General features: G+C 39.2%; 1 protein-coding gene across 2 annotated transcripts in view; it reads right to left on the bottom strand.

Moving 5' to 3' along the window:
* Positions 1-16841, bottom strand: part of CFAP61 (cilia and flagella associated protein 61) — a 308167-nt gene that overhangs the window by 212048 nt on the left and 79278 nt on the right. For both annotated transcript variants that reach the window (NM_015585.4, NM_001167816.1), the window contains one exon: positions 5703-5794. In NM_015585.4, the coding sequence (NP_056400.3) occupies positions 5703-5794 (92 nt within the window). The remainder of the gene's footprint in view (positions 1-5702; positions 5795-16841) is intronic.

The raw sequence follows: 16841 nt of genomic DNA, 5'->3' as shown, positions 1-16841 counted from the left end.
TCAGTAAAGTCTCAGGTTACAAAATTAATGTACACAAATCAGTAGCACTACAATATACCAACAATGACCAAGCTGAGAATCAAATAGAGAACTCAATCCCTTTTACAACAGACACAAACAAAACCCACAAATACAAAAACAAAAAACAAAACAAAAAAACCCTAGGAATATACTTAACCAAGGAGGTGAAAGATCTACAAGGAAAATTACAAAACACTGCTGAAAGAAATCACTGATGACACAAACAAATGGAAATACATCCCATGCTCATGGATGGGTAGAATCAACATTGTGAAAATGACCATACTGCCAAAAGCAATCTACAGATTCAATGCAATTCCCATGAAAATACTATCGTCATTCTTCACAGAACTAGAAAAAACAATCTGAAAATTCATACGGAGCCATAAAAGAGCCTGCATAGCCAAAGCAAGACTAAGCAAAAAGAACAAATCTGGAGGCATCTCATTACCTGACTTCAAACTATACTACAAGGTTATAGTTGCCAAAGCAGCATAATACTGGTATAAAAATAGGCATGTAGACCAACAGAACAGAACAGAGAACCCAGAAATAAAGCCAAATACTTAACAGCCAACTAGTCTTTGACAAAGCAAAGAAAAATATAAAGTGGGAAAAGGACACCATATTCAACAAATAGTGCTGAGAAAACTGGCAAGTCACATGTAGAAGAATGAAACTGGATACTCATCTCTCACCTTATGCAAAAATCAACATAATATGGATTAAAGACTTAAATCTAAGACCTGAAACCATAAAAATTCTAGAAGATAACATTAAAAAAATCTCTTCTGGACATTTGCTTAGGCAAAGAATTCATGACTAAGACCCCAAAAGCAAATGCAAAAAAAAAAACAAAAAACCAACAAATAAATTGGACCTAACTAAACTAAAAAGTTTCTGCACAGCAAAAGAAATAATCAGCAAAGTAAACAGACAACCCACAGAGTGGGAGAAAATATTTGCAAACTATGTACCCAACAAAGGACTAGTATCCAGAATCTACAAGGAATTCGAACAGATCAGCAAGAAAAAAACAAATAATCCCATCATAAAGTGGTCAAAGGGCATGAATAGATATTTTTCAAAAGATGTACAAACAGCCAACAAACATGAAAAAATGTTTAACATCACTAATCATCAAGAAAATGCAAATTAAAACCACAATGAAATACCACCTTACTCCTGCAAGAATGGCCACAATTAAAACATCAAAAACAATAGATGTTGGTGTGGATGTGGTGAAAAGGGAACACTTTTACACTGCCAGTGGGAATGTAAATTAGTACAACCACTATGGACAACAGTTTGGAGATTCCTTAAAGAGGTAAAGTAGAACTACCATTTGATCCAGTAATCCCACTACTAGGTGTCTACCCAAAGGAAAAGAAGTCATTATATGAAAAAGACACATGCACATGCATGTTTACAGCAGGACAATCTGCAATTGCAAAGATATGTAGCCAAACTAAGTGTCCATCAACCAATAAGTAGATAAAGAAAATATGGTATATACAGTATGAAATACTATTCAACCATAGAAAGGAATGAAATAATGTCTTTTGCAGCAACTTGGATAGAGCTGGAGGCCATTATTCTAAGTGAAGTAACTCAGGTATGGAAAAGCAAATATCATATGTTCTCATTCATAAGTGGGAGATAAGCTATGAGGATGCAAAGGCGTAAGAGTGATATAATGGACTTTGGGGACTTGGCCGGTAGGGGTGAGGGATAAAAGACTGCATATTGGGTACAGTGTACACTGCACAGGTGACGGATGCACTAAAATCTCAGAAATCACCACTAAAGAACTTATCCAGGTAACCAAAAACCACTTTAGCCCCAAAACTATTGAAACTTAAAAAGACAGTATTGTTCTTCATCTGACATTGTACAACTAACAAAAGTTTTCTCCACTCCCAAATTATTTTCAATGCAAAGATCATTAAGTATTTTGACTCAAATCCAGGAATGGATATAAGCAAGTTACAATATTATATAAAGCTGAAGACATAATGTTATCCTCAAGATATATAATTTTTACAGCTAGTTCTCACCACAGAAAACTTCATGAATTCTAAATATTATAACTAGAGCCTAGCCTAAAAATCATAGAGTATTGTGAAAAAGATGCATATTGTGTTTGTCTGAAATCTTTAGAAAAGGGGTATTTTCTTCCAGCAGCAGTGTTGGGAGTAGTTTCTTTATCCACTGGTAATACCAAAAGTTGCTATTTTATGTCTTCCATCTATTACTAATTTAAGACAACTATGCTGAATTAAGTTGTTTCATTCTAGTTTATTGAGAGGTCCCATTCTCACTCCTCAATGGATTTTACATATTTCTCATACTCTTCTTCACTCATTAGTTCATCCAGTTGTAGGGTGTTACCCAGTATCATCTTGACATTGATGCCCACTGTTCCATGCCATTTTCTATTATTATTCACTCATGTCTATCTGTGAATCTACACACTGAGAACACAGTGGTTCCATATGCAGCATCCAGAGAGCACTTCCCTCAGCCACCAGGGCTGCAGCCCACAAGATCCACATTGTTCACAGTGTGTCACATTTGATGGGATGCTGAGGGCCACTGTGCTGCACTTCAGCTACCCAGGCCAGGAGGTGGGGCAAGGCTGGTCAACACTGTCATTAAAATCTTCTTTATCCTTACTGATTTTCTGCCTACTTATTCTATCAATTATTGAGAGGAGCATATTGAAATCTCTAACTATAATTTTTATTGATTTATCTTTGCAGTTCTACAACTTTTTGCTTCGTATGTTTTGAAGCACTGTTATTGGGTGCATAAGTATTTAAGATTGTTACATTCTCTTGGCCTTTGTTATCTCTTATAGTATTCTGTGTTCTGGAATCTACTTTGTCTGAAATTAGTAAAGCCATTCCAGCTAACTTTTGATTAGTGTTGGCATGGTGTATCCTTTTCCATTCTTTAAATTTAGCCTATTGTATCTTTATATTTAAAGTGCATTTTTATAGTCTACATATAACTGAATTTTGCATTTTATCCACTCTATATCTGCCTTATATACATGATCTTTAATCGGGACATTTGGAACGTTTACATTTAATGTAATTATTGTATACTTAGGTTTAAGTCTGTCATCTTGTAATTTGTCCCATCTAGTCTTTGCTCCCTTTTTCCTCTCTTTTTGTCTTCTTTTGGTCTAATTTTGTATTTTTATGATGATATTTAATCTCAACTATAGGCTTATTAGATATAACTCTTTGAATCTGATTTATAACATTAGTGGTACATCTTTAACTGATCACAGACTGTCATTAGGTGATATTATAGCACTTTAGATATAAGAACCTTAAAATAGTATACTTTTCCCCTCTGGGTCTCCTCTCAAGCTCTTTGTGCTATTCTTGTCATACATTTTATTTTTACATATGTTATAAACCCGGCGCTATTTTTGTTTGTGAAGTCACTATCTTTTAAAAAGATATAAATATTAAGGATAAAATCTTATATATTTACCCACTTTGTTACCATTTCCAGTGCTCTTCAACTCTTTGTGTAGAGCCAAATTTCCATCTGATACCATTTTCCTTCTGCCTAAAGGGCTTTCTTTAACATTTCTCGTAATGTGGGTCTGCTGGTGATGCACCTTTCCACCTTTTCTGTGTAGGGCAAACTCTTTATTTCATATTTTATTTTGAATGAAAGATATTTACTGGGTATAAAATTCTAGGGTGGAGTTTATTTTCTTCTATTTCTTTAAAGATGTGATCCTACTATCTTTCTGCTTGTATTATTTCCAATAAGAAATCCCCTGTTATTCATATCTTTGTTTCTCTGTTCCTAACTTGACTTCCCCCAAATCTACTCCTGGCTGCTTTTAAGATTTTCTCTTTATCACTGGTTTTCCACTGGCTTTGGTATAGTTTTCTTTATGTTCTTGTGTTTGCTGAGCTTCTTGTATCTGTGAGTATATTGTTTTCATCAAATTTATCATTTTTCAGTCATTATTTCTTCGAATGTGTTTTTTTTTTCTGTCCTAGCGTCTCTCTCTCTTCATGTGGACTTCTATTACACATATATTAGGTCTCTGAAGTTGTCCCCAAACTCACTGATACGTATCTTGAAAAAACATCTCATTTATATTTGTTTCAAGTTCACTAATCTTTCATCTGCAATGCCTAACCTGGAGTTAATCCTTCTGGTGTATTTTTCATCTTGATTGATTGTAGTTTTTAATCTCTAGAAGTTTGATTTGGGGCATTTTTATATCTTTTATGTCTCTCCTTAACCTTTGGAACATACAGTTATGATAACTGTTCTAATGTTTTTGTCCATTAATTCTAACATGTTTTCATATGTATGTAGGTTTCAACTGATTGATTTATCTCCACCTTATGCATAATATATTACCAGTTTTGTGAGTGCTGGTAATTCTTTATTGGATTCCACACATTGTGAATTTCATCTTGGTGGGTGCCAAGTAATTCTGTATTCCTACAGATAGTCTTGTACTTTGTTCTGGGACTCAGTTAAGTTACTTTGATTCTTTTAGTTCTTGCTTTAAAGATTTGTTAAGCAGGACTGGAGCGGTGCCCTCTCTAGAACTAATTATTCTCCACAAGACTCTTTTGTGTACTCTCTTGCAAATCATAAGCTTTTCCAGTCTGGCTGGTGAGAACAGGCACTATTCCTAACTTTGTACAGGCATGGGCACTATTAATCCTCATCCTTTTCAGAGGTTCTTTTCTCAGCCTGGCCTTAAGGGGTTTCCTCACATGCCTGGTGTGATCAGCACTCAGCTGACTGCCTGACTGATCTGCTGATCAATGATGTCTCTCTCTGTGCACTCTGTCCTTTCTAGTACTCTGTCCTTCAGACTTTAGTCACTCTAGTCTGCATGGACTTAAAGACTCGGGAAGTCTTCTGGCTCTTCCTGCCCTGCGTTGTGACCTAGAAGGTCTGTCAAGGCAAACAACTGGGGCAGCCACAGGATTCGCTTGGCTTGTTTCCCATCTCCCAGGCATCGCTGGCCTTTGTTACAGTGATGAACAGTGTTTTCTATATTTTAGCCACACTTTGGTTATTTTAGGCAGGAGAGTAAATCCAGTCTCCGTTACTGCACCTTAGTGTAAAAAGAATGCTGCACTTAAAAAAAACTAATTCCATTAAATCAGCTTCATTTCCATCAATCTAATCCATGCCACATAATCTTCTTTAAAAGACTCACATCTCCCGAGTCCCCTCTTTGCTGGGAGGGGACTTTGCTGGGAGATGGGGCAAGTGTTTCCATGTCTGCAGGGACCAGTCAGGGCAGTAAGGAAAATGCTGTCCCATTGGAGTATGCAGATAGTGTGTCAGTCTCTTCAGAAAGCCTGTATTTCCCAGTGAGTTTAAATGAGCAGTTTTATCTGTCTCAGCCTCCTGAAGTCAGGGAGGAAGGTAGAGAAAGGCTGACACTCTGTTCTGACCTGAATTTTGGAGCACACCAGTGAGGCTTTGATTTGTCTGTTACAAACACAGAGGCCTCTGTTTCCCCCAGCTCGCGGTGTGCTTACTGCTAGTGAGGCCTTTTCTGCATCAGGCATTAGAACTTCTCCGTAGTGACGCCAGCACCAGAGATGCCCCTGATGTCACAGGTAGCCCCCAGGCCCATCCCCCCACCCTAGGCATGGAGGGATAGTCTCTCTCACCTGGATGTTTTCCATGGTATCTGGAGAGACAGGTTCCTGCAACTCCTCGACTATTTTTTGGGAACCTTGGCTGCTACTCCTGAGCTCAGCATCTTTGAGAGAAGGGATAGAATAATGACAGAAAATAGATGATAAATATCTGCAGAATCACAGGAAATTAGACAGCATGGTCACATGGTTTTAGACTACAATGGATCTAAAGAATTTTATTCTAGAGAGCAGTACCTTGAGGTGGGAAGAGCAGGTCTCCGCAGCCCCCCCGAATTTTGACACTGAGGAGGGATTCTGGGCTAGTTCCTCCCTCCCTCCACCTCTCTTTGCCCTCATTCACATGATGCTGCCCAGGGGAGTTGTGGAGATGGGAAGATGGGCAACGGACCTGGCCCAGGCCTGGGCCACAGGAGGCCCTCAACCTCTGCCAGTCCCTGGGCAATGGGTTCCTTTCATAGCAGCCCCTTTTGAAGTTTACAAACAATGGGTTATCAGCTTCCTCGATGGTGGGCTTTGAAATGATCTCCAGGCAGAAGGTGGAAAAGGCCACAGTGAGTTACATCAGTGTTACCTGAATGCCAAGGCTTAGCACAAGGGCTGCTTTCTCTTTGTGTGGAAATACTGTGAACTCATGCTCTGCCAGCGGTCACAATGCTCACTTTTCTATTTCGTAATAGAAATTATTTTCAAGAAGAACTGGAGCTGAGCATTGGTTTTTTAGTAAGTTCTGGAAAGTCAATAATCAGGGTAGCTTAGGCTTCATGTATTTAACCTTTACTAAAAATTTCCCATTTTGTCTACAAAGGTCTTTCACCCTCCTCCTCCCCTCCTTTTTTCTCTTTTGTAATCTCTCCATGCCTAAAGAGGGAGACCTGGGAGAAGACATCATTGGAGGATGTCCTCTCCTTTGTGCCTCACCCAGTGGTGTCCGCTCTGCTGGGAGTTCTCAGCCATGACATCTGCTCTCAGCCTTTGGGACTCAGCTCAGAGCAGCCCTAGGACACCCTGCTCATGGCTGCCCCTCCTCAGAAGCGCTGCCACAGATGTAGGAGGGACCCTGGGCCTGCTGAAGGCTCCAGAGACTGCTGCTGTCTCCGTGAGTGTGGGCATGCTGCTCTGCCTTCTTGTTTTCAAGCATCACATCAGACACTGCAGAGCCAGAGCAGCCAGGGTCCTCTGCTTCCTCCTCTCCCATGGTATTCTTCTAGTGCCAGTTACAACAATGGCCCCTGCAGATGCCTCTCAACCCCAAATATCTGGGTCACTAATGCATTATACTTACTTCTGGCAAAGATGTAGGTAAATGAATGAAATTCTAAGATAAAAATGAGATGCCTAGGGAGGTGTAAATGGCATAGTCGAAGAGGTACATAATGTTGAAGGCACAATGAGACAGAGAGTCACATTCTAGCATGAAAGGTAGCTCTTTTGGCATGAAGAGAAAATGTCCTGAGAAGAGAGGGTAAATCACTTAGAATCCCTCTTCTGAAGAAAGATGCTTTGAGGAAAATAAAAACTGTCATATCTCTAGCTCCCGATATGTCCTGCACCCTGCAGAATTTTCCAAATAAGACTATCTGGGGTTTCTAGCACTCTCATCATGACAAGAGCAGGATGCTTTTTAGGCTTATTGACCTTGTTGTTGAGATTAACACACATATGAAAAGTGTACAGCTCAGGGAATTTCTACATATGTCTGTTCCTGAACAACCAACGCCTATAAAAATATATAAAACTGGCTTGTCACAGTAGCTCACACCTGTAATCCCAGCACTTTGGGAGGCCAAGGGAGTTGGATCACCTGAGGTCAGGAGTTCAAGACCAGCCTGACCAACATGATGAAACTTCGTCTCTACTTAAAATACAAAAAACATAGCCGGGCATGGTGGTGCACACCTGTAATCCCAGCTACTCAGGAGAGGCAGGAGAATCACTTGAACCTGGGAGGCGGAGGTTGCAGTGAGTCAAGATTGTGCCACTGCACTATAGCCTAGATGACAGAGTGAGACTCCATCTCCAAAAACAAAAAAAAAAAAAGGAAAAAAAAAGAACATATAAAACATTTCCTTTTTTATGGCTGCATAGTATTCCATGGTGTATATGTGCCACATTTTCTTAATCCAGTCTATCATTGTTGGACATTTGGGTTGGTTCCAAGTCTTTGCTATTGTGAATAGTGCCGCAATAAGCATACGTGTGCATGTGTCTTTATAGCAGCATGATTATAGTCCTTTGGGTATATACCCAGTAATGGGATGGCTGGGTCAAATGGTATTTCTAGTTCTAGATCCCTGAGGAATTGCCACACTGACTTCCACAATGGTTGAACTAGTTTATAGTCCCATCAACAGTGTAAAAGTGTTCATATTTCTCCACATCCTCTCCAGCACCTGTTGTTTCCTGACTTTTTAATGATTGCCATAAAAAAGGATGAGTTCATGTCCTTTGTAGGGACATGGATGAAATTGGAAATCATCATTCTCAGTAAACTATCGCAAGGACAAAAAAACCAAACACCGCATGTTCTCACTCATAGGTGGGAAATGAACAATGAGAACACATGGACACAGGAAGGGGAACATCACACTCTGGGGACTGTTGTGGGGTGGGGGGAGGTGGGAGGGATAGCATTAGGAGATATACCTAATGCTAAATGACGAGTTAATGGGTGCAGCACACCAGCATGGCATATGTATACATATGTAACAAACCTGCACATTGTGCACATGTACCCTAAAACTTAAAGTATAATAATAATAAAATAAAAAATAAAAAATTTTTTAAAAAATGCAACAAGACAGCACTAAAAAAAAAAAAAAAAAAAAAAAATTTCCAGCACCCAGAGGTTCCCCTCATCTCCCCGTCCAGTCAATACTCCTCTCAAAGGTATCCACTCTTCCAACTTTTACTATCATTGATTACTTTTGATCAGCAGAAAACTTGTGAATTAAAAAAACCTCATTATCAGTAACTACCTATTTTAATGTATTACAAAGATATTTCTTTCCTATTTTAAGTTTGAAGAACTACAAAAAATGCAACTAAAAGTAGACATTCACTGTGCATGCTTCTTTTATAATTAGGAAAATATTACAAAAAAGTAAAAAGTCTTAAAGACTGGATTAGATTTTCAGTAAACTAATAATCCTGGTGACTTAACTGTCAATGGTCTAATGTTCATGAGACAGTTACCAACTACAAAGACTAATTGCTTGACTAAACTGTCGTGAGGTGTTGCAGTTTATTACTAAGCAGCTGCCACGTTCATCCCTAGAGGTGACTGCATTTCAGAACTGGGCAAGGTGAAGCTGGATCTCTCTCTCCAGTGTCTCTGGGGTCTTGCGAGGTTTAATTACTTAATGTTCATAATGTCCCCTGAGATCCTCAAATAAGAGGTGCTATCCTGGGGAAAGCTGAGGCAGTGGTATTGTGTAACACATGACTAAAAATACAACTGAAGCTGCGCGATTTAATTGTTATTTTATGGCTTATACCATCTAAGTAGTTTAGAAGTCATGAACTATTGGTTTACTCTAGTGGGAGTAAAGGCACAATTTGTCAGGACTTTCTCTCTAAGTGAGACTGCTTATCTGAAGCGGGTTTACCATGAAGCTAATAAAGCTTAGAGGTTCAGGCATCTTCCCAGCACAGGCTCCGCCAAGGCACAGCATCTAATGCCACATTCATCATTTTGCATTACTCTCCTTAAAAAGGGCTCTTGAATGGGTCAGACTTTAGGTCCCACAAGACTCTGGATCTACCCCGCTCTTTATCTAATAGGAATAATACATACGGAGTGCAAAATAATACATGTTGAGGGCTTCAGGAATAAATAATAATATAATTTTGTGCTTTTTACATTTATTTTAAATATCCATCAAAAATCTTAATTTTTGTGTGATGAAATAAATTGATTCTAAAAGAGCAAATATGGAGAAACAGTAAACAAAAATTTAAGAAAGATGAACAAAAAGAGAGCCAAATTCCCAACTGAATATTAAGACATTATAAAGACATAGTTATTAAAACAGAGAGTTACTGGGGCAAGAATAGAACAGAATGAAGGCCAGAAATAGACACAGACAGTTATGAAATGTTGATATATGATGAAGATGGCATTTCAAGTTAGGGGGAAAGAACAAACTGTACAATAAATAGTGCTAGAGGAAGTGAAGCAAAATGATCAAATAGAAGCTTCCACCAATCATCCTCCCCACAGGAACACAAAATTTAACAATTATGTACACAACAAAGCACCTTCATAAGAACCAAAAATCAGGGGAGTGATCACACTATCTGGTTTTAACTTCATATCACTGAAAGAGGCACTGAAGAGGGCAGGAAAGACAGTCTTGAATTGCCAACACTAACCTTTCCCCATTCCCCTGGCAGTAGCCACGTGGCGTGGAAAATCTGTACACTTGGGGAGAGAAAGTGCAGTGACTGTGGGACTTTGCAATGGAATGCAGTGCTGTCAACACCAGGCAGAACTCAGCTGGCACCCCAAGAGGGAGCATTTGCATCAGCCCTAGCCAGATGGGAATCACCCATCCTGCTGGTTGGAACCTGAGTTCTGGCAAGCCGTGCCACCACAGGCAAAAGTGCTCTGGGGTCCTAAATAAACTTGAAAGGCTGTCTAGGCCACGAGGACTGAGCTACCGGACTTAGGGGACATGCGAGCTAGTAAAACACCAGCTGGATCTGCTAAAAGAGTGCTTGCGTTACCCCTCCCCTAATCCCAGGCACCGCATCTCACAGCTCCAAAAGAGACTCCGACTCCTTCCTTCCACTTGAAAAGAGGAGAGGGGAGTGAAGAGGACTTTGTCTTGTAACTTGGATCCCAGCTCAGCCACAGTTGGATAGGGCACCTGGCAGAGTCACAAGGTCCCTATTCCAGGCCCTGGCTCCTGGATGACATTCCTAGACACACCCTGGACTGGAAGGGAAGCTGCTGCCTTGACATGAAGGACCCAGTCCTAGTAGGATTCATCATGTGGTGACTAAAGAGCCCCTGGGCCCTGAATAATCAGCAGCAGTAGCCAGGTAGTACTCGCCATGGGCCTTGGGTGAGACTAAGAGCTGTGCTGACTTCAGGTGTGACCGGCACATTCTCAGCTGTAGTGGCTACGAGAAGAGACCACTTCTGCTTCAGAAAAGCAGAGGAAAGAGTAAAGGGGACTTTGTCTTGAGCTTAGGTGTCAGCTTGGCCACAGTGGGGAAGAGCACCAAACAGGCTCTTAGGGTCCCCAGTTCCAGGCTTTGGCTCTTGAATGGCATCTCTGGACCTACTATAGGCCAGTGGAAGAGCCCACTGCCCTGAAGGATGAGTCCCAGGCCTGAAAGCATTCACCACAAGCTGACAGAAGAGCCCTTGGGCCTTTAGTGAACATCAGTAGTACCCTGGTAGTACTCCCTGTGGGCCTGTGGTGGTGGTGGACATGGGGAGAGACTCCTTTGCATGGGAAAAACGGAGGGAAGAGCGGAAAGTACTTTGCCTAGTGCTGTCACAGTCAGGCCAGCTGCAGTAGAACAGAGCACCAGATAGATTTCTAAGGTTTCCTACTCCTGGCTCTGGCTCCCAGACAGCATCTCTGGACCTCTGTAGGGCCAGGGGAACTTGTTGCCCTTAAGGGAAGGACATAGGCCTGGATGGCTTCATCACCTGCTGATTGCAGAGCCCTAGGGCCTTGAGAGAATGTAGGTAGTGGTTACAGTGGGCCTTGGGCAAGACCCATGGCTGTGCTGCCTTAAGGTTTGACCCTTTGCAGTCACAGTGGTGGTGGCCACAAGGGTGCTTTGTGTCACCCCTCCCCCAGCTTCAGGTGGCTCAACACAGAGAGAGAGACTTCATTTGTTTGACAGAAAGTAAAGGAAGAGAATAAGAGTCTCTGCCTGGTAATCCAGAGTATTCTTCTGGATCTTATCCAAGACCACCAAGGTGGCACCTCTACAAGTCTGCAAGAACCAAAATGTTACTGGGCTCTGTGTACCCACCTAATGCAGATATAGATGCAGTGACCAAAAACTTAGTTCACAACATCCAAGTTCCTTTGAATACCTGGAAAGCCTTCCCAAGAAGGAAAAGTACAAACAAGTCCAGATTGCAAAGACTACAATAAATATCTAACTCTTCAGTGCCCAGACACTGACAAACATCCACATGCATCAGATCCAACCAGAAAAACATGACTTCGCCAGACTAACTAAATAAGGCACCAGGGACCAATCCCAGAGAGACAGAGATGTAGGACCTTTCAGATGGAGAATTCAAAATAGCTGATTTGAGGAAAACTCAAAGAAATTCTAGATAGCATGGAGAAGGAATTCGAATCCTATCAGATAAACTTAACAAATAATTTGAAATAATTTTAAAAATAATGCAGAAATTCTGGAGTTGAAAAATGCAACTGACATAATGAAAAATGTATCAGTCTCTTAATAGCAGAATTGACTAAGCAAAAGAAAGAATTAGTGAGCTTGAAAACAGGCTATTTTAAAGTTAACAGTCAGAGGAGACAAAAGAAAAAAGAATAAAAAAGAATGAAGCATGCTTACAGGGTCTAGAAAATAGCCTCAAAGGGAAAAATCTAAGAGTTATTGCCCTTAAAGAAGAGGTGGAGAAAGAGATAGGGATACAAGTTTATTCAAGGGGATAGTAACAGAGAACGTCCCAAACCTAGAGAAAGATATCAATATTCAAGTCTAAGAAGTATAAACACCAAGTAGATTTAACCCAAAGAAGACTACCTCGAGGCATTTAATAATCAAACTCCCAAAGGTCAAGGGTAAAAAAAGGGACCCTAAAAGCAGCAAGAGAAAAAAAAACAAATAATACACAAAGCAGCTCCAATACGTCTGGCAGCAGACTTTTCAGTGGATACCTTGCAGGCCAGGAAAGAGTGGCATAACATATTTAAAGTGCTGAAGAAGAAAAACTCTTACCCTAGAATAGTATATCTGGCAAAAATATCCTTCAAACATGAAAGAGTAATAAAGACTTTCCTAGACAAACAAAAGGTATTTCATCAACACCAGACCAGTCCTACAAGAAATGTTAAAGGGAGTTCTTCAATCTGAGAGAAAAGGACATTAATAAGCAATAAGAAATCATCTGAAGATACAAAACTCATTGGTAACAGTAAATACACAGAAAAGCACAGACTATTATAACACTGTAATTATGGTATGTAAACTACTCATAAGTAGAAAGATGAAAAGATCAAAAATAATAACTATAATGTTTCAAGACATAGTACAGTAAGATATAAATAGAAACAACAAAAAAGCCAGGAGATAAAGTGTAGTTTTTTAGTTTTCTTTTTGCTTGTTAGTTGTTGTTTGTTTATGCAATCAGTGTTAAGTTGTCATCAGTTTAAAATAATGGGTTATATTATTTGCAAGCCTCATCCCTCAAATCTAAAAACATACAATGGATACACAAAAAAACAAAAAGCAAAAAATTAACATTGAGCACAGACAATTCTTTCAAGGAGTTCTTTCTGAAGAGTGAGTAAGTCCTTATTTCTTGACATGTTTTTGTGCCATGGTTGGCCTCATTTCCTTTTGTCTTCTTCATAATTGTGTTAGTTTCCTGTTGCTGCTGTAAAAAATTACCACTCACTTAGTGGCTTAAAACAACAGGAATTTATTCTCTCACAATTCTAGAGATAAGAAGTTGGAAATCAGTATCCCTGGGCTGAAATCAAGGTGTCAGCAGGCCTATGCTCACTCCAGAGGCTCTAGGGGAGAATCTGTTCCTTGTTTCTTCCAGTTTCTGTTGGCTTTGGCATTCCTTGGCTCGTTACATCATTCCAATCTGATTCCATAATCACATTGCCTTTTCCTTTTCTGTCTTTATAATCTCCCTCTGTCTCTCCCTTATCACAGGATGCCTGTGATAGCATTTAGGGCACCTTAGATAATCCAGGATAATCTCCTTATCTCAAGATCTTTAATCACAACTACAAAGACCTTTCAAAAAAAAAAAAGGTGACATTTACAGGTTCCAGAGATTATACAAGGGTGTCTTTAGTGAGGCCATTTTTCTGTCTACTTTAATAGGCACCTGTGGCTGACTGAATGCAGTGTATTTACCCAAATGCTTACTAGGAAAGTCAAACTCTCTACCTGTCCAAATCAGAAATGATTGTTACCATCTCAGCATCTTCATCAAATAATCCATTCACTCTTATTAATCTCACCTCACAAAATGGTTCCACCATCTACCCAGTTTCTGAAATCATCCTTGATAGTCCCCTTTTCCACAATCTCCTTTCCCCATATCCAATAAAATATCAAGTTCCATTAATTATCTAAAATACCTCCCAGATCTAATCCATAGTTATTGTTCTGGTTCAATCCCTCCTCATCTCCTTCCTGGACGCCATAGTGGCCTTTGTAAAGTCTTCCTGTGAACTAGAAACTGAGCATGTAATGCATTCTAATTAAATATTTCCAATGGTTCATCATCACATATGACCGATGTAATAGAATAGAATCCAAACTCTCTTGCAAGGCATGCAAGGTCTTGATTGCCTGGCCTCAGTTCTCCTGTCCTGCTTTGTCTCCTGCCACTCCCTCACCTGATGCTCCAGCAACACTGAACTTGTACTTTCCCCCAATAAGCCATGGTCTTGAATATCTCCTTATTCTACACTCTTTGATATCACTGCTAGGAAAATCTTTCTGCTTATTCACCTAGAAAGCTCCAATTTGCTTTGAAGTTTTACTCAAAAGCTTTGAGGTCTATGAAGTCTATGTGGAGGCTATGAAGTCTATGTGGATGCTCTCAAGATGACTTAGGTGTAATTCTGCTCTGGTCCCACCACACTCTTTTATCCTTCAAGACAATGATGTTATTGTAAAGTTGTTTGTCTTGCATGTTTATCTTGTCATTGGCTGGTACTGGACTCACTACATACTAGACTATGTTCCTAAAGTCTAGTATATGGGATGCACTCAGTATTTGTTTAATGACTGAATGAATGACAAGAGGTTGATAATAAAGTCCACAGTGATACAAAGAAAGATACTAGGCGGGTTGCATGAAAGGACAAAGGGCTTTTCTCAAAATTTTCAGTGAAACTCCTCCTACCTGGGATGTGGTGTAGACTCCAGGCCAACCAGTACAATAAACTTGAGCTTAATACGTTGACAATTCCCAAATCACCATCTTGAGATGAGACTTGGGATAAGGTCTTAGCCTCCTCCAGGAAAACAGATACCATTTCCCCATTCTCATTGTATCACAAATCAGGAGACCAATCTTAAGCTGAAGTTTGTGTCTCCTTAGGTCAGGAAAAAGAAGACCATGACAAAAGTCATCAGCATTCTTCTTTTTGTGTGTGAACATGGGTTGCAATGATGACTCTGATTCTTCATATTCCCTGTATTTAGGCCCTTTGCTTCATGTGGCCCCCTCTCACTCTGATTCTGGGTTTAATCATGTGACCTGCTTGGACAAGTGGCATGTGTTAGTTCAAAGCCTAAACCTTCTGAGGTCTTGCATGTTTCCATTTGCTCTCTTGTGCCTCTGCCCTCTCCATGAGAACCTGTACAAGATAGCCTCCTAAAGGATGAGAGGGACATGCAACAGAGCCAAAGCCTGACTAGATCACCTGTCAGCCAAAACACTCCAAGACATGTGAGTAGACTCAGCCAAGATCAGCAGAGCTGCCTAGTTGACACCAAATGCATGAACAATACATGCTTATTGTGGTATGCCACTGTAGTTTTGTAGCTGTTTGTTAGTAGCATTATTGTGGCAACGGATTATTGACGCAGTTGCAAGAAGTAATAGAATCAACAAAATCTTGAGGCTGATTCTTTGAAAATGCCAATTAAATTAACATATCACTGGTGATAGTAAGAAAGAATAAAACACCAATAAATAGTACCATAAATGAAACACAGGAATATAGAGGACATGTAGAAAGTAAGATGGTAGATAAAAACCCATAAGAACATTAAATGTAAATGGACTAAATACTCTAATTAAAAGACAATAATTATGACACTAGATTAAAAACAAAGCCTACCAAACTCAATGCTGTTTATGGGCAACACATCTAAAATATAAGAAAATAGAAAGGGTAAAAATAGAAGGACAGGAAAAAAATATGGCATGTAAGTAAAAATCAAAGAAAGCTGATGTGGCCATATTAAAATCAGAAAAAGTAGACTTCAAGACAAAAACATCACTAAAGAAGGAAACTTCATAACTGATCAAAATTTCAAGGAAGATAGAATAATTTAAAAATTATGCCTTAAATAACATAGACTTAAAATCTATAATGAAAAAAATGATAGACAGCCTATGAGTAGGAGTCAATAAATCCATAATCAAAGCAGGAGATTTTAACACACCTCTCATGAACTGCTCAAAAAAGTGATAATATTAATAAGGATAAAATATGACATTATTAGCAAATATGACTGATTTATACAGAACACTGAACCTAAAAATTATGGGATTCACACTATTTCCATGGACTCAAGGAATCCTTACAAAAATGGAACATATGCTTAACAAAGTTGGAAGAATTAAAAACACACAGAGTAGGTTCTCTGACTGCAATGCAATTAAACTAAAGCCTAGTAAAAAACAAAACAAAACAAAAAACGAGGATATCCTGGATGGATAAAGAAAATGTGGCATATATATATATACAACAGACTATTATTATTCAGCTTTTAAAAGGAAGGAAAATCTGCAATATATAACAATATGGATGAAATTTGAAGACACTATGTTATGTGAAATAAGCCAGGCACAGAACAAATAATACACAATTCCACTTTTATAAGGTATCTAAAATAGTGAAATTAATAGAAGCAGAGAGTAGAATGGTAGTTGCTAGGAGCCTGAGAAGAGGGGAAAATGGGGAGTTGCTATTAAATAGGTATAACCTTTCATTTACACAAGATAAGTTAGTTCTAGAGATCTGCTGTACAACATCTACCTATAGTTAACAATTTTGCATTGAACACTTAAAAATTTGTTGAAAGAGTACCACAATTAAAAATAAAAAAACAAGAACATTCCCATGTTAATAAATAAATAATATTTTAAATAACTCGTAAGTCAAAGAATATATAAAATGAAATTTCAAACATATTGATAATACATACATTAGTTACATACCAAAA

Source organism: Homo sapiens, chromosome 20, assembly GCF_000001405.40.
Source record: "Homo sapiens chromosome 20, GRCh38.p14 Primary Assembly".
Lineage (NCBI taxonomy): Eukaryota > Metazoa > Chordata > Mammalia > Primates > Hominidae > Homo > Homo sapiens.
This window is presented reverse-complemented; position numbering and strand designations above follow the sequence as displayed.